The following is a 24,901-nucleotide window of genomic DNA, read 5'->3' on the forward strand; positions in this document are numbered from 1 at the left end:
CCTAGATTTTCATGATGCTATTAAGATACAGGCTCTACATTAGCTTCAGTAGCTCTGATGGCTATATGTAGCAAAACAGCTACATTCAGAATAGATTCCTGACCACAAAAATAAACGTCAAGGAAAGATCGATAAAAGCTGCAAAGAATTTTATGTTGCTTCTAAGAGATGTTGCCACAAGGTGATAAATGAGTAAGACCATGGTCAATAAATGGGAGAGCAGTGCCTGAATCTCTCCTGCTTGTCCTGTAAACTATTTACCTGAGATACCCCAAGTGGAATTTGCCCAGGAGGAAACATACTGGCTAGCACTTTAGATTTAAGAACTAGTGAATTAAAGGTTTATAATCTGTAGGGAATGGAGAATTGACCTTTAAAAAATAAAGTAGACCATACTTTAAGTCCCACCAGATGGGACCATCCTAATGGAGTTAAAATACAAGCAAGTGCTGCAAATTAGAAACCATTATTCCACATGCCTTGAATATCCTAGAAACAAGAAATTTCCATCAGACACTTTTTGTTTATTGGGACCATGCTATGTGAGAGTGTGTTCTCAAACTCAGCCAGAAAAATGCTTAGGGTAGATATCCTTATTTGTTTCCTCCTATTGTTACATTCCTAAGAAAATAAAAGCTAGGATTTTGAGTCCATCTTCTAGTGTTCTAATTCAAAACAGAGGAATTCGTCATTTTAAATCTATAAAATAAAAATAGTTACCATTTCTTGAGCAATTACTTTGTGTCTACCAGTCAGCATCCTAAATGTTATACATTCATTCACTAATATTTACAGTAGCCCTATTAAACAAGCATCATTGTACCCCCCCATGCCCCCTTCTTTTTTTTTTGAGACAGAGTGTCGCTGTTGTCACCCTGGCTGGGGTGCAATGGTGCGATCTCAGCTTACTGCAACCTCCGTGTCCCAGGTTGCAGCAATTCTCCTGCCTCAGCCTCCTAAGTAACTGAGATTACAGGTGCCCACCACTACGCCTAGCTAATTTTTTAAATATTTTTAGTAGAGATGGGGTTTCACCATGTTGGCCAGGCTGGTCTTGAACTCCTGACCTCAGGTGATCCACCCACCTCAGCCTCCCAAAGTGCTGAGATTACAGGCATAAGCCACCCCGCCCGGCCCACTGTTCCCCTTTTATAGGTGAGAAAACTGAGGTTCAAAGAAGTTAAATGACTCCAGCTGGGCACAGTTGCCCACACCTGTAATCCCAGCACTTTGGGAGGCCAAGGCAGGTGGATCATTTGAGGTCAGGAGTTCGAGACCAGCCTGGCCAACATGGTGAAACTCCATCTTTACTAAAAATACAAAAAAAATTAGCCAGGCATGGTGGTGTGCACCTGTAGTCCCAGTTACTTGGGAGGCTGAGGCAGGAGAATCTCTTGAACCTGAAAAGTGGAGGTTGCAGTAAGCCAAGATTGTGCCACTGCACTCCATCCTGGTCAACAGAAGGAGACTCTGTCTCAAAAAACAAAACAAAACAAAACAAAAAAACAGAAAAAGAAAAAGGAAATTAAATAACTGAAAACTAGTGCATGGCATGGCCATGATTCAAATCTAGATGCAGCCGATTCCAGAGCTCATGCTCTTAACCACTATAGTATATCAGCTCTAAGTAGGAAAAGAATGAAAGGACTAGGGTAATGGATGTTAGATAAGTAGGTTGTCATCCTTGTATAACAAACAATGAGAAAACTGATTTGATCTAAATTTCCCTAGAGAGAAATGCAAAGAATTGATACTTATTTTCTATAAACCCAGGTACACGACTCAGCCTACAGCTGTGATGCTTACTTTAAGAAGTTGATGCTGGCTAGGTGCAGTGGCTCACACCTGTAATCCCAACACTTTGGGAGGCCAAGGCAGGTGAATTGATTGAGCTCAGGAGTTCAAGGCCAGTCTGGACAACATGACAAGACTCCATCTCTACAAAAACCTCAAAAATTAGCCAGGCGTGGTGGCATGCTCCTATAATTCCAGCTACTTGAGAGATTTAGGTGGGAGGATGGCTTGAGCCCAGAAGGTCAAGGTTGCAGTGAGCTGAGATCGTGCCACCGCACTCCAGCCTGGGTGAAAGAGCAAGACCATGTCTCAAAGAGAGAGAGAGAAAAAAAAAAGATGTTTAGGCTATGCGTGGTGGCTCACGCTTGTAATCCCAACACTTTGGGAGACCAAGGCAGGAAGATCACTTGAATGCAAGAGTTTGAGGCCACAGTAAGTTATAATTGTGCCATTGCACTCCAACCTGAGCAACGCAGCAAGACCTTGTCTCCAAAAAGGAAAAAAATAATAATTCAGCAGGTTATCCAGGTCTTAAAAAAAATGATGCTTGGTTATTTAGATTTGTTTAGGTTTTTTTTCTTCCTCTTGTATGTAAAAGGCAGGCTCACTTAACTAGTCTGTCAACAATGGTTTCGTCAAAATTTTCATCCCCCTACCATGTCTCAACATAGTTTCACATTATAATTAAAAAATAAATTTTGTCTTCCCATATTACAGTGAAAAGGGAATAAACATTTAATGTTGACACAGACTACATTAGGTTCATTTTAAACATGTTTTTTCTTTAATGTTATTACAGTTAAGTGACATCTATAGTACAATGCATGATTTGATTTTGTGATAATGCAAGTGGCAATTATGAGCTATAGGCTCTGTTGATGAGACCACATCAAGTTACACGGTATGAGTAGGGGATGGAGTAAATACTCAGAGTGTACCTGATAAAAACATAAACTAAAAGTCATATTACATGGAGAAAACATTTTGTTTAGTGGGACAATTTGTAAAAGACAGGATGAAATCCATGACTGGCCTGTTACTTTCAGATAAAAATTCAAAGAGGGTAAAGAAAGCCAAATCCTGCCAGATGCAGTGACTCACACCTGTAATCCCAGCACTTTGGGAGGCCAAAGTGGGTGGATCACATGAGGTAAGGAGTTGGAGACCAGCCTGACTAATATGGTGACACCTCGTCTCTACTAAAAATTCAAAAATTAGCCGGACATGGTGGCGTGCACCTGTAGTCCCAGCTACTCGGGAGGCTGAGGCAGGAGAATTGCTTGAACGGGGGAGGCGGAGGTTGCAGTGAGCCGAGATCACACCATTGCACTCCAGCCTGGGAGACAGAGTGAGACTCCGTCTCAAAAAAAAACAAAAAAAGCACAAATCCAAAGGTAAATCAGCTCCTATAAAGTGAGTAGACAAGTTGCCCCAATTCCAGGTCAGGTATCTGGGCTATCAAGGCTGTAGGCAAATCCCACTATGCAAGGGTAAATCCAACCACCACCAGGAGAATGTCCCTTTGTTCTTTAGATTAGCCCACACTTACCAAAGAGAAAGAAGTTTGGATTCACATCCCTAAACTGAAACTAGTTGCAAGTGATTTCATTAACCTTGTGTTTTTCTAAACCAGCCAAGTATTTGATTCAAAATATCAAATCAGACTCATCACTTATTCTAACTGGAGCTCTGTTTCCCATCTATAAAATATGCTAGATTGAATATGTCTGACTGATTGTGTTCAAGAACTGTATAATTCTACAACTACAGGATAATAGGAAGAATTAGCACAATGGCAGTTCCTGAGGGGGACAAAAAGTCCCAGAATAATTATCTCACCATGAACTGAGAAGCACAAACAGGTGGATGAATGTAAGAATAGTATCTAAGTCAAAAGAGGTACCAAGTTCAAGGAACTCTGTACTTTCTAGCCCACATTCAGAATATCATAATCTGTTCTAAAAGACACATTCTAACAATGACGTTGATTGACTGGATGCAATCAGTAGAGGGTGACCAGGATGGTAAGGCATCAAGATATCATGTGCTATAAAGAACATCAGGAGGAGTCTGAAGAGCAGGAATTGTTTGCTTGGAGCCCCTGGTGAGACTGTTCCTCCCACAGCCTTACCACTAGAAACCACCCAAGAGTCCACACCAGAGAAAGAGGCTATAAATGAACTGACCTCCCACCTTCTAAGGAGCTAATGCCATCATGCCTTGCTTTCCTATTTACCTTAGTCATCCACAAAAGTCCAAGTTCCAAAATTTAGGGTCATCACTAGATTTTCTCCCCACAGGACACTGTACATGTCTGACAGGTCCAATCTTTGTCCTTCCTGAGCCACACAAATATCTCTACTATGTCCTATGGAATTCACAAGTGTCAGCAAAACCCCCTCTATCCTCACACACCTGAGTGTTTCCTACTCTATGTGCTCCTCAATAACCCCTTTGAGTGCACTGCTACACCTGGGTCCTCCTCATGTGTAATTTTTTCTTTCCACATTCAACCTCTCACAATGCCTGGAGATGGTATAAATATCCTTGCCCCTCATTCTCATATACAAAAGTTTTACTCTTTAAAGAACATTCCATTAGATGTTCTCATATCCCCTGCCCTTTTTATAACTATCTATCAACCTCCCTCGTTCCTTAAAGATGTGAAGCTCTTGAGCTTCTGTGTCTTTCTACCACAACTGCTATCATGCATCTTACTGATTCTACAATCCAAATACATGAGTCAACCAACACTTGGGCTTCTCAAGTCCTTGACCACTGAGGATCATTTCCTGTCTCTGAAATCTTTGCTTCAGCTATCTCCTCAGACCATCACAGTTTACTGCAGCCTTGACCTCCTAAGCTCAAATGATCCTCTCACTTTAGCCTCCCGAGTATCTGGAACCACAGGCACGCCTCACCATGCCTGGCTAATTTTTTAAATTGTTTGTAGAGATGGGATTCTCCTATGTTGCTCAGGCTGGTCTTGAACTCCTGAGCTCAATAGATCCTCCCACTTCAGCCTCCCAAAGTTCTGGGATTACAGAAATGAGTCACCGTGACCGGCCTTCCCCAAAATTCTAAAGCCCATTTTCCTACTCCTCCTTTGCGATCGCTTTCTTCCTTTACTCAGTTTTTTGTGTTTTGTTTTTCTTAACTCTCTTTTCTCTGTACTCACACTCTCCTTCTAACCACAGGTCCATGGTTTTAATGACCAGCTCTACAGTGACCTCTCAAAGATTTATTTCTCCTCAGAGTCCCGGATTTGTCTATACAAAGTTCAGCAGCTTCCTTTGGTTGTCCAATACGTATCTCAAATTTAACATAGCCAAAACAGATCTATTTTCTTTTTTTTTTTCGAGGTGGAATTTTGCTCTTGTCACCAAGGCTGGAGTGCAATGGCACAATATTGGCTCACTGCAACCTCCGCCTCCCAGGTTCAAGTAATTCTTCTACCTCAGCCTACCGAGTAGCTGTGATTACAGGTGCCTGCCACCATGCCCAGCTAATTTTTTGTATTTTCAGTAGAGACAGGGTATCACCATGTTGGTCAGGCTGGTCTTGAACTCCTAACCTCAGGTGACCCACCCACCTTGGCCTCCTAAAGTGCTGGGATTATAGGCGTGAGCCACCAAACCCGACCAACAGATCTATTTTCTACACCAAAAACCTGCTTTTTATCCCAATCATTCCCATCTCACTTGCCGAGTTGCTCAAACCAAGCGCTTATGAGCTAGCCTTGGTTACTCTCTTTCATTCACCCTCCTACACTCAATCTACCAACAAGATCTGCATACTTCTTAATGTCTAAATGGAAACTGACTTCTTAATGCCTTCACAGCTACCACCTCAGCCCAAGCCCCGTCCATCTCTGACCTGGACTAGAGCTGTGTCTGGAATGCGTTTCCTTCTGGTGGGTTCTTGGTCTTGCTGACTTCAAGAATGAAGCCACGGACCCTCTTGGTGAGTGGAGTTTGTTCCTTCAGATGTTCAGATGTGTACGGAGTTTCTTCCTTCTGGTGGGTTCATTGTCTTGCTGACTTCAAGAGTGAAGCCGCAGACCTTCGCAACAAGTGTTACAGCTCTTAAAGGTGGCATGTCCAGAGTTGTTTGTTCCTCCTGGCGGGTTCATGGTCTTACTGGCTTCAAAAGTGAAGTTGCAGACCTTCCCAGTGAGTGTTACAGCTCATAAAAGTAGTGTGGACCCAGAGTGAGCAGCAGCAACATTTATTGTGAAGAGCGAAAGAACAAAGCTACCACAGCATGGAAGGTGACCCCAGTGGGTTGCTGGGGCTGGCTCTGGTGGCCAGCTTTTATTCCCTTATTTGGCCCAGCCCACATCCTGCTGATTGGTCCATTTTACAGAGTGCTGATTGGTCCATTTTTACAGAGTGCTGATTGATGCATTCACAAACCTTTAGCTAGACACAGAGTGCTGATTGGTGTGTTTACAATCCTTTAGCTAGACAGAAAAGTTCTCTAAGTCCCCACCTGACCCAGAACCCAGCTGGCTTCACCTCTCAGTGCAGTAGTCTTCCTTCTTCCACTCTTGCTCCTTCAAATCCATTCTCCCTTCAGCTGCCATAAAGCATATACTTCCCTACTCAAAACTCTTCAAGAGTTTCCCAACCCACTTATAATAGATTTCAGACTCCATATGAGGCCCTTCATACCCTGGTGACCAACTTAATGCTCTGAAAACCAACTTAATGCTCTTATCTCATCTCCTGCCCCTCTCCAACTCTCTCACGCAGCTGCAGCTTCACTGCCCTTCTTGCAGTGACTGAAACATGGCAAGCTTTTTTCCGCCCTCCATCTTTATCCTTATTTCCCTCTCCACTTAGAACGTTCCTCAAATTTTGCTTGCCATGACCCTTTATGTCATTTAATTCTCCACTGATATGTCACCTCCACAAAGAAGTCATTTCTGATCACCATAAGCAAAATACCCCCATTCCTTTTACCTTGATTTATTACCTGAAATCATCATGTGAGTCTATCTACTTTTTTAAAAAATCACCTATTTGACCCGCTAGAATGTGATCTCTATGATGGCAGTGTTTATATCCTGTTCACCACTATCACCCACACCTAAAACAGTGACTGAAACATGATCAATATTCAACAAATATACGTTGAATAGATAAATGGCCCATTTGGGGCAATGAATATATAAGCATCTTTCTACTAAGAAAAATGACTTACCCCTTTTAGGAAAACAATCATAATTACATGAATTACGCATATGCTGACTATTTTGACATCTGAAAAAGTTTTGCTTAAAAGCATAGAATATCTGCTGTGACAGTTGTTGGAAATTTTGACTGCCTAGCATATTTCCCCTCTTTGTGACAACACCCCTAATTTCTTTTACAGAAAAGACCTTCTCCATTGTGTGCAGTCTTGATGAAACCATAAATCAAGGTTCTCTTGTCATCCCACCCCATCACACTATTCCCTTTCTCTGTTTCCCCTCTCCTTTCTTCTCGCTCTCTGTGTCTCTCTTTCACCAGGCTAAGAGGTAGAATCACAACACAAGCCAGAATAATTTTTTTTCCAGAACTTTGTTTATTGAGATTTGTAACTTAAAGGATTGAAAATGTGGGTGGTTAACTCCACACAGACTCACCCTTCGCAGTGCAATCCCTGATGGACGCCACTCCTGATTGTCCTGGGCTTGCTTCTTGCAGGCCTAGCAGCCCCTGCCCACGTCCACCTGAACCAGATTAGTAGCTTTCCCTGGGATAACTGGGACAAAGGGAAGGACCCTGTGGTGATCAAAAGCCTGTCTCTGGAAGCTGACCCCAACGTCGTTCCTGGGAACGTGATCGTCAGTGCTGAGGACAAGAACCAGTGTCCCCCTCAAATCTCCTCTGAAGGGAGGAATTAACTGTAGAGAAGGAAGTGTCTGGCTTCTGGGTCAAGATCTCATGCATGGAACAGATTGGCAGCTGTGCCTATGAAAACTTCTGTGATGTGCTTGATATTTTCATTCCCCCTGGGGAGCCCTGCCCAGAGCCCCTGCATACCTATGGGCTTCTTTGCCACTGTCCCTTCAAAGTAGGCACCTACTCACCATGAGTGAGTTCACTGTGCCTGACCTGGAGCTGCCCAGCTGGCTCAGCACCAGAAACTACCGCATTGAGAGCATCCTGAGCAGCGGAGGAAAGCGTCTGAGCTGCCTCAAGATTGCTGTCTCTCCCATCCTGGCTAACAAGGTGAAACCGGTGGCGGGCGCCTGTAGTCCCACCTACTTGGGAGGCTGAGGCGGGAGAATGGCGTGAACCCAGGAGGCGGAGCTTGCAGTGAGCCCAGACTGTGCCACTGCACTCCAGCCTGAGCAACAGAGCGAGACTCAGTCTCAAAAAAAAAAAAAAAAAAAAAAAAAAAAAAAAAAAGATTGCTGTCTCTCTAGAGGGAATATAACATGGCATCAGCCACAGCAGAATTAAGGGATATGAGGAAGGTTCCTTTTCCTCTGTCATGTGCTTGTCAACGTCAAATTTTGACTCTCTGCCCCCCTTCAAGCCCCTTTCTGCAATGAGTCAGCTATCCTCACTGAAAATCATTGTGTGCCACTTACATTTTAGGCTGGGACAAGCAGCCCTGAACTAAGGCAGGATGATTTCGACAGTTTTTTTGTTTTGTTTTCTTTGTTTGTTTTTTGAGACAGAGTCTCACTCTGTCACCCAGGCTGGAGTGCAGTGGCACGATCCCAGCTCAGGGCAACCTCCACCTCCCAGATTTAAGCGCTTCTCCTGCCTCAGCCTTCTGAGTAGCTGGGATTACAGACAGGCGCCATGGCGCCCAGCTAATTTTTGTATTTTTAGTAGAGACAGGGTTTTTCCATGTTAGCCAGGCTGGTCTCGAACTCCTGACCTCAAGTGATCTGCCCGCCTTAGCCTCCCAAAGTGCTGGAATTACAGGGTGAGCCACCATGCCTGGCCAGAGTTGAACAGTTCTTGATAGCCCAGGACATCTGCTGGGCTGGCCACATTACCCATCCTCCTTTAGACATTCTCTCTAAAGAGCTTCATTCATTTCCAAAACAGTTGAGGAATGGGAACCAATGTGTTTTGGGGCCTCATGTTTACACTGATCTAATCTTGATCTCCTGAAAAATCTTTGTGACTTTTTTTTTGTCACTGAGTTAAAAGCAGAGTGAGAGTATTAACATTTTTGTTCTACTCCAGCTCCCTCTTACAATTAAGGGGAAAAGTAGTTGGTCTTAGTCTATTTATCCCTTAACTTCTATGATTAATTTTGATTTCTTTTCTAGATTTGCCCAATTAATACTGGGGTACAGTGTATCCTGGAGAGCAGGGTGTGTGGGAGGAGTCTCTTGGGGGAGATAGGAGATAGGAGTGCTCTATTGTTTACAAACACAGGTGCCCACAGGGCCAAGCAAGAGATGAGTGACAAGGACCATGAGAAACAGGTTGCTTCCAAGGGAGATGTTTGTTTTTCCTTTTTAGATAAAGATAATACTACAGTGTAACTCTTTCTTATTCTATACAGAAAGTCACAGCACATGTGCATTGATACAAGGCTGCTGAGGCCTGGTCTCCAGTTGGAAATATAATTAAGGGTGACAAGGACTGGAGTAAGTTGGAGAGTACACAGCCAGCCAGTCTGTGACGACAACTGCTACCTTGCTATAACAAGTTAGTGCCACATAAGAATGTCATAGGCCCAGTATTTGACAGATAGTTTCAATTTTTACTCCTAGAGAAGCCAAAAATCCAGAATTTTATATGAAATCTTACCATTTTAAAAGATTGGCAACTAATTATTTTTCTTTTTCTTTCTTTTTTTTTTTTTTTTTTTTTTTTGAGACAGAGTCTCCTTCTGTCACCAGGCTGGAGTGCAGTCACACGATATCAGTTCACTGCAACCTCCACCTCCCGGGTTCAAACGATTCTCCCACCTCAGCCTCCTGAGTAGCTGGGATTATAGGCACGCACCACCACACCCAGCTAATTTTTGCATTTTTAGTAGAGACAGGGTTTCACCATGTTGGCCAGGATGGTCTTGATCTCTTGACCTCGTGATCTGCCCGCCTCAGCCTCCCAAAGTGCTGGGATTACAGGTGTGAGCCATAGTGCCCGGCAATTATTTTCCTTAAACACTGTGCAGCCCAAAGGGGCTGAGCGGACATGTGAGTGGGGAAAGCCAGCTTGTGGGTGGCCATTTTGCAGCCTCTGATCTAAGACGGTGCATGCCTTGTCCTCTTAAAACAACTCCTGTGGCACCACTTCTCCCTCCACAAGGCCAAATCCATCGTGTCTGATCTTAAGGAGAAGGCCCTTCCAGTGCTAGGAGAGGTATGGGCAGCCTCTCATCTGTGAGCTATGGGGATCAGCAGGCCACCTGCCCCAGTCTTGGAGCTCTGTAGGGTGAATGAGGCAGACGTGGAAGAGTTGGCCCCACCAACAGCTGCTTTGTGGAGCAGGGGTCCAAGGAAGATAAGGTGGACTCAAGGTCAGGCTGCCTGGATTTGTCCGCCACCCTGTTATGCCATGACAACTTCTGAACCACACACCAGACCTGAGTTCTGGGCTCATTTGAAGCCTGGAATAGCAATAAATATTTTTAACTTGCAAAAAGAAAAGAAAAAGGCAGGTGTGGTGGCTCACACCTGTAATCCCAGCACTTTCAGAGGCTGAGATGAGCAGATCACTTGAGGCCAGGAGTTCGAGACCAGCCTGGCCAACATGGGGAAACCCCCTCTCTACTAAAAATACAAAAATTAGCCAGGCATGGTGGTGTGTGCCTGAAGTCCCAGCTACTCGAGGAGGCACCAGAATCACTTGAACCCCAGAGGAGGAGGTTGCAGTGAGCTGAGATCGCACTACTATACTCCACCCTGGACAACAGACTGGGACTCTGTCTCAGAGAGAAAAAAGAGAGAGAGAGTTATTATTAATTCTTTAGGAATAACTAGATTGATACAAAAATTACTGTTCATTCTTTTTTTGTGTGTTTTTTTTCAGACAGGGTCTCACTCTGTCACCCAGGCTGGAGTGCAGTGGTGTGATTACAGCTCACTGCAGCTTCAGCCTTCCAGCCTCAAGCTATCCTCCCACCTCAGCCTCCTGTGTAGCTGGCAAATAGACACACACCACCAAGTCCAGCTAACTTTTGTATTTTTTGTAGAGACAGAGTTTTGCCATGTTGCCCAGGCTGGATTGTCTTTTATATTTAGTAATGTTTAATTATACGTGATAAATGCTATAGAGTTCTCATTAAAATGAACTATAGCGAATTTTTAAGTAAAAAAACAATTTGCATAATATATTTTTAAAATAAGCACTCCTAAAATAATACTGTGTATTTTCATCAGTTTATTTGTATAAATATGCATATAAATGGATAAATAAAGACCCCAAGGATACATGCAAACTAAAAATAGTAATTAATTATGTAGAAGAAAAAATTGGGGGAGTCAAGGATGACTGTAGCTTAATCTGTCATAAATATATGAACTTAAAAACATAATTTTAAGGAGAAAACAATTTTAAGTACATTCAGAGGCACAAAGTCTGCTTTTGAACTCCTTTAAAAATATACAAGTGCAGACATAAAAGCTCCATGGGGTCACAATAAAATTGTAAAGGCTTGTGTACTATTATCATAATCGTAGGATGACCAATCATAGTGATTTTCCCAGGATGACTGGTCATCTTACATAATGGTATCCCTTAGAGTAAAAAACAGTGTTTTTTTCTTAAGTTTGGCCGGATAATTGCTGGTATATGTAATAAATAAAGTTTGGGGGGACTCAGGCTTTTTTCTAATGCCTGGGCATTGATAATACAATCAGTCTATATAAGATTTATTAATTTAGCAAACAGTAATTGATCGTTTATTGTGTGTCATCACTATAATAGTGATATAGGAAATAGAAAGAAATCATTTAGGTAGATTGTTAGGATGAAGAGGCTCCCCAGCAGAAAACTTTCCTTCTAACAAAAAGCAGCTCGGAAATTGCTCCCTTTCTAACCTCATGCAGTTCAAAGAAATCACTTCTCTTCTAACAAAGAGCAGCCTGGAAGATCAGGCTGTAAAACACAGATAAGCAACTTGGGCACAGAGTGGGGAGCTTCCTGGTTATCACCAAACTTCACATACCTACAATGGGCCCAAGTAAAAACAGTGCACTTTTTTTTTTTTTTGAGTCGGAGTGTCGCTCTGTCGCCGAGGCTGGAGTGCAGTGGCATCACCTCGGCTCACTGCAAGCTCCGCCTCCCGGGTTCACGCCATTCTCCTGCCTCAGCCTCCCAAGTAGCTGGGACTACAGGCGCCCGCCACCACGCCCGGCTAATTTTTTGTATTTTTAGTAGAGACGGGGTTTCACTGTGTTAGCCAGGATGGTCTCCATCTCCTGACCTCGTGATCTGCCTGCCTCAGCCTCCCAAAGTGCTGGGATTACAGGCGTGAGCCACCGCGCCCCGCCCCCAGTGCACCTTAATAAGCACATTCCTTTCCCTTTATTTAGCCTCACTAAGATAGGGAAGCTGGAAGCATGCACTGGGCGGGGGAGGCCTGCAGCTGCAAGAAGGTGCCTGGGAACCCGGCACAGAAACTCTCCCTCCCCTTTTAGCACACGCAGATAAGCAGCAGCACAGCCGCACAATCTAAGAGCCTGCCTGCATAATCAAAGAATGGGGTGGGGCTATTAGAAACTCTGCTCTAAGCAGACGGCACACCTGGTCCTAGCCAGTTCTTCAGGCCCTATGGAGCTAAGACACCCCCTTCTCACTAGCTCATTTTTTAAAAACCCTGACATTTTTACTACAACTTGGCAATCAGTTTGGACCCCTCTCTGTGACAGACAGCTGTTCTTTCTTCTCACCTTTTAAACTCCTGCTCCAATCTCAGTCTGTATGCATCTGCATCCTTGATTTCCTTGGCCATGAGATCAAGAACCTTGGTATTTACCCCAGACAATGAGCCTGTTTTAGTAGTTCCTATAGATCCTATAATAAGTGAGGCACAATCCCTTTATTTACTTATTTATTTTTGAAACAGAGTCTCATTCTGTCGCCCAGGCTGAGGTGCAGTGGTGTTCCCGGGCCAAACCAAGGGTCAGGTTCCTTATTCTCGTGGCCCAATAACGAGATAAAGATGAACTGGGAGAAAAGGGAGTTTTTATTTCTATAGCTGGTTACAGGGAGAAGGGCTGGAAATTATCGCTGGACCAACTCAAAATTACAAAGTTTTCCAAAGCTTATATACCTTCTAAGCGATATGTGTACATGTAAGTGTGCATTTACCTAAAGACACAAGCGATTAACTTCTTTTAATCTGTAACTAAGATCTGAGTCCTGAAGACCTTCCTCTGGAGCCTCAGTAAATTTACTTAAGCTAAATGGGTCCAGGTGCTGGGGTGATTACCGACCATTATCTTGTCTCCTGCTAAGTCATGGAGGTTTGGGGACTTACTTTAGTCCCCAATAAAGCTTGTTTGTGGAGGCCTGGAGAGTTTCTTCAGGCCCACAATAAAACTTGTTTAATCCTCAACAGGTCCTGTTAAGAATTCCTTCATTATCTTGTCATGCTTTAAGGCTGAGGAAAAGCCTAAGCAAAACTCTTGGTGGGCTTTTGTCACATTCCAGACTTTGTACAAGGGCACTAGCTCTTTCAACTTTCAACATTTAACTTAACCACTCAATCAGTACTGAAACAGTTGTTATGGAGGCCTGCATCAGTGGGACCTGGCCTGCCACAGTGTGATTACAGCTCACCGCAGCCTCGATCTCCTGGGCTTAAGCAATCCTCATGCTCAGCTGAGACTACAGGTACACAGTCATGCGCATCTGTGTGAAGAGACCACCAAACAGGCTTTGTGTGAGCAACAAGGCTGTGTTTATTTCACCTGGGTGCAGGCGGGCTGAGTCCAAAAAGAGAGTCAGCAAAGGGTGGTGGGATTATCATTAGTTCTTATAGGTTTGGGGATAGGCGGTGGAGTTAGGAGCAATGTTTTGCAGGCAGTGGGTGGATCTCACAAAGCACATTCTCAAGGGTGGGAAGAACTACAAAGAACCTTCTTAAGGGTGGGGGAGAAACAAATCACAATGGTGGAATGTCATCAGTTAAGGCTATTTTCAGTTCTTTTGTGGATCTTCAGTTGCTTCAGGCCATCTGGATGTATACGTGCAGGTCACAGGGGATATGATGGCTTAGCTTGGGCTCAGAGGCCTGACACACACCACTACTTTTTTTTTTTTTTTTTTTGGAGAGATGGGGTCTCACTGTGTTGCCCAGGCTGGTCTCAAACTCCCAAGCTCAAGTGATCTTCCTGCTTCAGCCTCCCAAAGCACTGGGCTTACAGTTGTGAGCAGCTTCACCAAGCCATGGCACAATCTTTATCCTCAAATACTTTAGCATCCCAAGAAGAAAATACACAAGTAAGCAGGTAACCCAAAGACAGTATTAAGTGACAAGTAAGTAGAAGGAGCTGAGGGAGCACTTGGGTGGAACATCTAACAGCCTTAGGAGAGCAGAGAAGCTTTTCTGGAGGAAAGCACAAAGGCAAAAACAAGAATTGTGTGAAGGCCAACCCTACAGACTGCCAGATGTTCCTGCAACATCTCTGTGACACCTATATTAGTCCGTTTTCACACTGCTGTAAAGAAATAGCAAGAGTGGGTAATTTATAAAGGAAAGAGGCTTAATTAACTCACAGTTCCACATGGCTGAGGCAGCCTCAGGAAATTTACAAAAAATGGTGGAAGGCAAAGGGTAAGCAAGACAACAGGAGAGAGAATGAGACTGAGCACAGGAAATACTGCCACTTTTAAAGCCATCAAGATCTCGTGAGACTCACTCATTATCATGAGAATGGCATTGGGGACACCGCCCCCATAATCCAATCACTTCCCACCCTCGACATGTGGGGATTACAGGTCCCTCCCTTGACATGTGGGATTACAATTGAAGATGAGATTTGGGTAGGGACACAAAGCCAAACCATATCAACACCTCTCCCCTCCTGGAGCTTCCACAGTAGCAATTGGTGTTACACTGATCTGTGAGCTCCCTGAATGTCTGCTTAGAGTTCTTAGAGGCAGGACCTGCTCCATCTTACTTTGTAACTACAGCAAGGCTGTCATGTGTGAATGAATAAAGAGCTTTTATTGACCAAAAAAAAAAAAAATGTAAGTGATGGAAAGTATTAAATCATCATATGGGCCAGGCACAGTGGCTCATGCCTGTAATCCCAAAATTTTGGGAGGCTGAGGCAGGAGGATTGCTTGAGCCCAGGAGTTCAAGACCAGCATGGGCAACATAGTGAGACCCCCATCTCTATAAAAAAAAATTAAATTGGAAAAATTTAAAAAGATAATAGTGCATCTTAAATTGATGGCATCTTAGATTCAATTAAATGTGGTATTTTTAAAAGGATCACTCCGGTTGCAGTGTTGAATAAAGCCAGTACAGGAGGTAAGGAGGAAGGGAGAAAATGAGAAAAGCAGAGGATGATTCAGGATGCTATTGCAGTAGAGAAATGATGGTAACTGGGATCAAAGTTGTAGCATAGTAGAAAGGAGAGATTGTCTGATTCTAAATGTATTTTTAAAGGGCAGTTGATAATGGACAGCAAGAAATGAGGAGTGAAGGAAAGAGAAGACTCCAGGATTAGTTCAAGATTTATGACCAGGACAACTAGAAGAAGGGAATTGCCATTTTCTAAACTTTCAAGTTCTTAGCCACAACTTGGCCACTAAAAATCTGAGTAACTTTAGAAAAGTCATTACCCTTCTCTGAACCTCAACTTTCACATTTGTACATGACAGATTTAAACCAGATCAGAAGTTCTCAAACTGTGTTAGGTACAGGTGCCTTACGATGCTTCTCAGGAGATGGGAGAAAATTCAGGCAAACTGGATTACAGGCTGTGTATAGTAGCAGTCCATGTAAAGTTGCATTTAAAAGCAGGAATTAAAAGTATTTAAAATAACTATATGCCAGGTGCAGTGTCATGCACCTGTCCCAGCTACTTGGGAGGCTGAGGTAGGAGGATCACTTGAGTTCAGAAATTTGAAACCAGTGTAGACAACATAACAAGACTCTATCGCTATAAAAAATAAAATAATTAATTAAAAACATATAGCTACCACAGTTTGTTAATGAAAATATACTATAAAAGATGTAAAGTGTAACTTCAATAGCATAAAATGGGATAAGGGAGAAGTAAAAGTATACAGTTTTTGTATGTGCTTGAAGTTAAGCTGTTATTAACTTAAATTAGAATGTTATAACTATAAGATACTTTATGTAAGCCCCATAGTAACCACAAAGAAAAAATCTCTAGTAGATACACAAAAGATAAAGAAAAAGAAATCAAAGCGTACCACTACAAAAATTCAACGAATCACAAAGGAAGACAGCAAGATTGGAAGAAAGGAACTACAAAACAGTCAGTAAACAATTAACAAAATGGCAATCATAATTTCTTACCTGTCAAAAATTACTTTAAATGTAAATGGATTGCTCGGTGCGATGGCTCATGCCTGTGATCCCAGCACTTTGGGAGGCCAAGTCAGGCGGATCACTTGAGGTCGGGAGTTCGAGACCAGCCTGACCAACATGGAGAAACCCCATCTCTACAAAAAATACAAAATTAGCCATGCATGGAGGCACATGCCTGTAATCCCAGCTACTTGGGAGGCTGAGGCAGGAGAATTGCTTGAACCAGGGAGGCGGAGGTTGTGGTGAGCCGAGATGGTGCCATTGCACTCCAGCCCGGGCAACAAGAGTGAAACTCTGTCTCAAAAAAAAAAAAAAAAAAAATGTAAATGGATTAAATTCTCCAGTCAAAAGAGAATGCCTTAAAAAAAAAGTTCTGGCCGGGCACGGTGGCTCACGCCTGTAATCCCAGCACTTTGGGAGGCCGAGGCGGGCGGATCACGAGGTCAGGAGATCGAGACCACGGTGAAACCCCGTCTCTACTAAAAATACAAAAAATTAGCCGGGCGCAGTGGCGGGCGCCTGTAGTCCCAGCTACTCGGGAGGCTGAGGCAGGAGAATGGCGTGAACCCGGAAGGCGGAGCTTGCAGTGAGCGGAGATCGCGCCACAGCACTCCCGCCTGGGCGACAGAACGAGACTCTGTCTCAAAAAAAAAAAAAAAAAAAAAAGTTCAACCATATGCTGCCTATATAATTCAATCATAAAGACACATTTAGACTAAAAGCAAAGACATAGAAACAGATATTTAATGTAAATGGAAAACAAAAGAGAGCAGGAGTGGCAATATTTATAACAGACAAAATAGATCTTAAGTAAAAAAACTGTAAAAATGGATAAAAATTGTCATTATATAGTGATAAAGGGGTCAAGTAATCAAAAGGATATGACAACTTTATTTCAGACATTTAGAGAGAAGGATATAACAACTGTAAATATATACACCCCCAACACTGGAGCTCCTAAATATATGAAGCAAATATTAACAGATCTGAAGAGAAAGACAGATTGCAATATGATAATAGCAGGAGAATTTCAAACCCTATTTTCAATAATGAACAGATCATCCAGACAAAAAATCAATAAGGAAACATTGGACTTGAACTACACATTAGACCATGGGTGTCCAATCTTTTGGCTTCCTTGGGCAACATTGGAAGAAGAAGAATTGTCTTGAGCCACATATAAAATACACTAACAATAGCTGATAAGCTAAAAGAAAAAAAAATCTCATAATGTTTTGAGAAAGTTTACGAATTTGTGTTGGGTCACATTCAAAGCCATCCTGGGCCGCATGTAGCCCATGGGCCATGGGTTGGACAAGCTTGTTTTAGACCAAATGGACCTGAATGACATATATAGGACAATATATCCAACCCCACTAAAATACACATTCCTCTCAAGTATACACACAGAACATATTCCAGAATAGATATGTTAGGCCACAAAACAAGTCTTTAAAAATGTAGTCCAGGGGCAGTGGCTCATGCCTATAATTCCAGCACTCTAGGAAACTTGAGGTTAGGAGTTTGAGACTAGCCTGGCCAACATGGTGAAACCTGTCTCTACTAAAAATACAAAAAAAAAAATAGCTGGGCGTGGTGACGGGTGCCTGTAATCCCAGCTACTCAGGAGGCTGAGGCATGAGAATCACTTGAACCTGGGAGGTGAAGGTTGCAGTGAGCCAAGATCATGCCACTGCATTCCAGCCTGGATGACAGAGGGAGACTCTGTCTCAAAAAAAAAAAAAAAAAAAGGAAAAAACTCTAAGAGGGTGCAGTGAGAAAGAAAATGGCAAATAGGAGACAGGTCTAATGTGTAGCTCCCACTTGGATGAACAGAACAGCTTGTAGAGACTCATATCGTGAAATTTTGCTCAAGTACCACTGCAGGAACATATCAGGAAAACTGAAAGAATTCACAGACCCTCTGAAAGAAGCAGTTTGCTGTTGCAAACTCTATGAGATAGTAGAAAAACTGTGAGTTCCCAACGTGTGAGGTCGGGGAAAGCCTGCCTCCAAACACACATCCCCAAACACTGGGGAACCTGAAAATCCAGATCACAGGAGAAGAATTTAACCTTACCTAGAGCTAAAACAGATTTAGGGAGCTGAGCAAAATATGAAAAGTAGAAAAAGCAGTGGGAAGAGCCTTGTAGGCACTCCCAGTCCCCAACTTGAGCCCAAGGAAACCGTCCCTGACTTAATCTCACAGGGGTCCTTGGGGAAGGCAGCCAGAGGAATTAGGGAAGGGTCAAAGGGTGAAAGAAGCTTCTAGCTGAACTTTGTAATAATTTTGACCCAGCACGAATTTTTGTGAGCAGAACTCAGGGGGTGAACAGGAAGTGCAGATAGCAGCTCAGAAGCTACAGCCAAAGGTGTAGGCAGACAGGGAGGGGCAAGGCCTGAAAGTTCTGCTACCCTTCTCAGCAGGGAAGCTTACGGCCTGGGGCAAGAGCTCAGCCCCGCATGCCAGCTGCCTGAATATAAACTCGGTGGTGTTGGCAGGGCACAGCAGGAATGAGACGGCCTTGCTGGCTGCGTGGAAGCTGGAGGAGGCTAACCACCGCTGGCTTTCTCCACTTCCCTGGCAACCTGGATGACACAGCAGAGGCAGCCATAATCCCCCTGGGAACATAATTCCATTGGCCTGAGAACCACACTCCCCATACCGGACAGTGGCCTCAGCAAGCCCCAGAGAAGAGTCTGAGCTCAGATCCATCTAACCCTGCCCCCATCTGATAGTTTTTCTCTACCTGCCCTGATAGCTGAAGACAAAAGACATAAATTCGTGGGAGCTCTGTGGCCTTGCCCATCACCTGAGAAGCCTGAATACTTATCCTGACCAACATAGGGCAAGCTTATATCCCCCTTCTACCACAGCTGGTGCTCTCTTGAAAGCACCACTTCCTAGCTGGAGGTCACCCAACTTAAGCCATTATAGCAACTCATAAGAAAACAACTCTGCTCCAAAGAAGGAGAAAACAACAGCTAATTCCACTCCCTACAACATGGCTAACCAGAGGTTCCTGAATCCTTCCACATGACAACTTCACTGCTAGGATTACCAGCATTCTAGAAAAACAGTGCACTAAACAAAAGTACAACCAACAATTCCCACAGAGTCCACTTCACTCCCCTGCCACCTTCACTGGGTATCCACAGCTGGGAGACCAAAGGACAGATCACATCACAGGACTCTTTGCAGACAATCCCCAGTACTAGCCCAGAGCCCAGTAGCTCTGCTGGGTGGCAGTAACAATCATTGCAGCCCAACTCTCAGGAAGCCCCCATCCCAGGAGAAGGGAGAGAACACCACAGCAAGGGATCACCTGGTGGAACAAAAGAACCTGAACAGCAGCCCTTGAGTTCCAGATTTTTCACCTGAAATAATCCTCCCAAATGAGAAGGAACAAGAAAAGTGATTCTGGTAATATGAAAAAACAAGGTTCTTTGACACCCCTAAAAGATCACACTAGCTCTCTAGCAATGGAACCAAACCAAGAGGAAACCTCTGAATTGCCAGATAAAGAATTCAGAAGGTTGATTATTAAGCTACTCAAGGAGTTACCAGAGAAAGTGTAGGGTCCAGTCCTACTGGGCCTGTGGGTTTTTCTCCTCATGTGAGGAGACAAGGGATCGTAGAAATAAAGACACAAGACAAAGAGATAGAAGAAAAGACAGCTGGGCCCGGGGGACCACTACCACCTAGACGCGGAGACCAGTAGTGCCCGCGAATGCCTGGCTGTGCTGTTATTTACTGGATACAAAGCAAGAGGGCAGGGTAAGGAGTGTGAGCCATCTCCAATGATAAGTAAGATCACACGAGTCACGTGTCCACCGGACCCGGGGGTGGGGGGGTGTCCCTTCCCTGTTTAGTAGCCAAGGCGGAGAAAGAGAGGGGACGGCTTATGTCATTATTTCTTCCACGCATTTCAAAGACTTTAGTACTTTCACTAATTCTGCTACTGCTATCTAGAAGGCAGAGCCAGGTGTACAAGGCGGAACATGAAAGTGGACCAGGAGCGTGACCGCTGAACCACAGCATCACAGGGAAACGGTTAGGACTCCGGATGGCTGAGGGTGAGACTGACTGTTGTCAGGCCTTCCACAAGAGGTGGTGCAGCAGAGTCTTCTCTAACTCCCCTGGGGGAAAGAAAGACTCCCTTTCCCGGTCGGCTAAGTAACGGGTGCCTTCCAAGGCACTGGCATTACCACTAGAACAAGGAGCCCTCTAGTGACCCTGTCTGGGCATGACAGATGGCTCATACTCTTGTCTTCCGGTCACTTCTGTGTCCCTTCAGTTCCTATCTCTGTATGGCCTGGTTTTTCCTAGGTTATAATTGTAGAACAAAGATTATTATAATATTGGAATAAAGAATAAAGCTACTAATGATTAATAACATTCATATGTAATCATATCCATAATCTATTTCTAGTATAACTATTCTTATTCTATATATTTTCTTTATTATACTGGAACAGCTTGTACCCTCGGTCTCTTGCTTTGGCTGGCACCTGGGTGGCTTGCCACCCACAGAAAGGTGAAAACCAACTTAAAGACATTTTAAAAACAATACAGGATATGGATTAAAAATTCTCCAGAAAAATAGATATCATAAAGAAAAAACACTCACAACTTCTGGAAATGAAAGACACACTTAGAGAAATACCAAATACACTGGAAAGTTTCAACAATAGACTAGAACAAGTAGAAAAAAGAACTTCAGAGCTTAAAGACAAGGCTTTCAAATTAACCCAATGAGACAAAGACAAAGACAAAATGAATTTTAAAAAAATGAACAAAGTTTCCAAGAAATTTGAGATTCTATTAAATGAGCAAACATAAGAATAATTTGTGTTCCTGAGGAAGAAGAGAAATCTAAAAGTTTGGAAGACATATTTGAGGGAATAATAATGAAAAAAAAGCTTCCTTGGCCCTGCTAGAGATCTAGACATTCAAATACAAGAAACTCAAGGAACACCTGGGAAAGTTATCATAAAAAGATCATCACCTAGGCACTTAATCATCAAGTCAAGACAAAGGAAATAATCTTAAGAGCTGTGAGACAAAAACATCAGGTAAAACATAAAGGAGAACCTATTGAATTAACAGCAGATTTCTCAGTAGAAACCCTATAAGCCAGAGGGATTGGGGTCCTATCTTTTTTTTCTTTCTTTCTTTTTAAGACGGAGTCTCACACTGAGGCCCAGGCTGGAGTGCAGTGGCATGATCTTGGCTCACTGTAACCTCTGCCTTCTGGGTTCAAGCGATTCTCCTGCCTCAGCCTCCCAAGTAGCTGGAACTACAGGCACGCACCACCATGCCCAGCTAATTTTTGTATTTTTGGTAGAGATGGGATTTCACCATGTTGGCCAGGATGGTCTCAAACTCTTGACCTCGTGTTCTGCCCCTCCTTGGCCTCCCAAAGTGCTAGGATTACAGGCGTGAGCCACTGTGCCCTGCCTGGGGTCCTATCTTTAGCCTCCTTAAACAAAATAATTATCAGGCAAGAACTTTGTATCCAGCAAAACTAAGCTTGATAAATGAAAGAGAGATAAACTCTTTTTCAGACAAATGCTGAGAGAATTCACCACTACCAAGCCAGCACTACAAGAAATGCCAAAAGGAGTTCTAAATCTTGAAACAAAACCTCAAAATATACCAAAATAGATCTTCCTCAAAGCATAAATCTCATAAGGCCTATAAAACACAGTGAAAACAAAACAAGGTATTCAGGTAACAACTAGCATGATGAATAGGATAGTACCTCACATCTCAGTAGAAATTTTGAATGTAAATGGCCTAAATGTTTCACTTAAAAGATAAAGAATGGCAGAATGGTTAAAAATCCACCAACCAAGAATCAGCTGCCTTCAACTGACTCACCTAACACACAAGGGCCCGCACTGAGTTAAGGTAAAGGGGTGGAAAAATATATTCCATGCTAATGGAAACCAAAATCAAGCCAGAGTAGCTATACTTATATCAGACAAAACAGACTTTAAAGTAATGACAATTTAAAAAAGACAAAGAGAACATTATATAATAATAATAGGATTAGTCCAATAGGAAAATATGACAATCCTAAATATATATGCATCTAACACTGGAGCTCCCAAATTTATGAAACAATTACTACTGGCTAGGCGTGGTGGCTCACACCTGTAATCCCAGTGCTTTGGTAGGCCGAGGCAGGCAGATCACTTGAGGCCAGGAGTTGAAGATCAGCCTGGCCATCATAGTGAAACCCTATCTCTACTAAAAATAGAAAAATTAGCTGGGTGTGGTGGTGCATGCCTATAATCCCAGCTACATGAGAGGTGAAGGTTGCATTGAGGCAAGATGGCACCACTGCACTTCAGCCTGGGTGACAGAGTAAGATTCTGTCTCAAAAAAAAAAAATAATAATAATAATAATAATAATTACTACTAGGTGAAAGAAATGATATAGATGGCAACACAATAATAGTGGGGGATTTCGATACTCTACTGACAGCACTAGACAGGTCATCAAGACAGAGAGTCAACAAAGAAATAATGAACTTAAACTATGCCCTAGAACGAATGCACTTAACAGATATTTACAGAGCATTCTACCCAACAACTACAGAATATACATTCTATTCTTCAGCACATGGAACATTCTCCAAGATAGACAATATGATAGACCACAAAACAAGTCTCAATAAATTTGAGAAAATTGAAATTATATCAAGTACTCTCCCAGGGCAATGTGAAATAAAATTGGAAATTAACTCCAAAAGGAACATTCAAAACTATACGAATACATGTAAATTAAATAATCTGCTCCTGAATGATCCCTGGGTCAACAATGAAATCAAAATGGAAATTAAAAAATTATTTGAACTGGGCCGGGCATGGTGGCTCACATCTGTAATCCCAGCACTTCGGGAGGCCGAAGTGGGTGGATCACCTGTGGTCGGGAACTTGAGACCAGCCTGACCAACACGGAGAAACCCTGTCTCTACTAAAAATACAAAATTTGCCAGGCATGGTGGTACATACCTGTAATCTCAGCTACTTGGGAAGCTGAGGCAGGAGAATCGCTTGAACCTGGGAGATGGAGGTTGCAGTGAGCCGAGATTGCACCATTGTACTCCAGCATGGATGACAGAGTGAAACTCTGTCGCCAAAAAAAAAATTTTTTTTGAACTGAATGATACTAGTGACAAAACCTATCATAACCTCAGGAATACAGCAAAAGCAATGCTACAAGGAAAGTTTATAGCATTAAATGCCTACCTCAAAATGTCTGAAAGAGCACAAAGAGACAATTAAAGGCCACACCTCAAGGAAATAGAGCAACAAGAATAAACCAAACCCAAACCCAGCAGAAGAAAAGAAATTACAAAGATCAGAGCAGAGCTAAATACAATTGAAACAAACAAACAAAAAAAGAAAACAAGAGATAAATGAAGCAAAAAGCAGGTTCTTTGAAAAGATAAACAAAATTCATAGACCATTAGAAAGATTACTCAAGAAAAGAAGAGAGAAGATTCGAATAAGCTCAATTAGAAACAAAATGGGATGTATTACAAACAATATGGCAGAAATACAAAAGATCATTCAAGGCTGCTGTGAACACCTTTACCCTCACAAACTAGAAAACCTAGAGGAGATGTATAAATTCCTGGAAATATACAACCCTCCTAGATTAAACTAGTAAGAAATAGAAACTCTGACCAGACCAATAACAAGCAGCAAGACTGAAATGGTAACTTAAAAATTACCAAAAAAAAAAGTGTCCAGGACCAGATGGATTCACAGCTGAATTCTATCAGACGTTCAAAAATAATTGGTACCAATCCTACTGAAACTACTCTAAGAGATAGAGCAAGAGGGAATCCTCCCTAAATCATTCTATAAAGTCAGTATAACCAGCCGGGCTTGGTGGCTCATGCCTGTAATCTCAGCACTTTGGGAGGCTGAGGCGGGTGGATCACGAGGTCAGGAGATCAAGACCATTCTAGCCAACATGGAGAAACCCCGTCTCTACTAAAAAATACAAAAATTATCCAGGTGTGATGGCGCATGCCTGTAATCCCAGCTACTCGGGAGGCTAAGGCAGGAGAATCACTTGAACCAGGGAGTCGGAGGTTGCAGTGAGCTGAGATCACGCCACTGCACTCCAGCCTGGTGACAGAGCAAGACTCCATCCAAAAAAAAAAGTCAGTATAACCATAATACCAAAATTAGGAAAGGACAAAAGAAAACTACAGACCAATATCCCTGATGAACATAGATGCAAAAATCCTCAACAAAATACTAGCTAACTGAATCCAACAGTATATCAAAAAGATAATACACCATGATTAAGTGAGTTTCATGCCAGGGATTCAGGGATGATTGAAATACAGAAGTGAATGTAATACACCACATAAACAGAATTAAAAACAAAAACCATATAATCATTTCAATAGACACAAAAAAAGCATTTTATAAAACCCAGCATTCCTTTATGATTAAAACCCTCAGCAAAACTGACACAGAAGGGATACCTTAAGGTAATAAAAGCCATCTATGACAAACCCGTAGCTAACACTATACTGAATGGGAAAAAGTTGAAAGCATTTTCAGTGATAACTGTAACAAGATAAGGATGCTCATTTTCAC

At 42.8% G+C, this 24,901-nt stretch overlaps 1 pseudogene, besides 2 other annotated features; it reads left to right on the forward strand.

The window, feature by feature from the left end:
* On the forward strand, nt 7,451-7,994 carry GM2AP2 (GM2A pseudogene 2; annotated as a pseudogene).
* Nucleotides 20,313-20,607: a silencer, noted in NCBI's record as "tiled region #1485; HepG2 Repressive non-DNase unmatched - State 12:CtcfO". NCBI's record gives its function as "represses a minimal TATA promoter and a strong SV40 promoter by Sharpr-MPRA in HepG2 cells {active_cell/tissue: HepG2}" and the evidence as "EXISTENCE:reporter gene assay evidence [ECO:0000049][PMID:27701403]".
* Nucleotides 20,428-20,567: a silencer, noted in NCBI's record as "silent region_1550". NCBI's record gives its function as "represses an Ori minimal core promoter by ATAC-STARR-seq in GM12878 lymphoblastoid cells {active_cell/tissue: GM12878}" and the evidence as "EXISTENCE:reporter gene assay evidence [ECO:0000049][PMID:35858748]".

This window comes from Homo sapiens, chromosome 1 (genome assembly GCF_000001405.40).
Source record: "Homo sapiens chromosome 1, GRCh38.p14 Primary Assembly".
Taxonomy (NCBI): domain Eukaryota; kingdom Metazoa; phylum Chordata; class Mammalia; order Primates; family Hominidae; genus Homo; species Homo sapiens.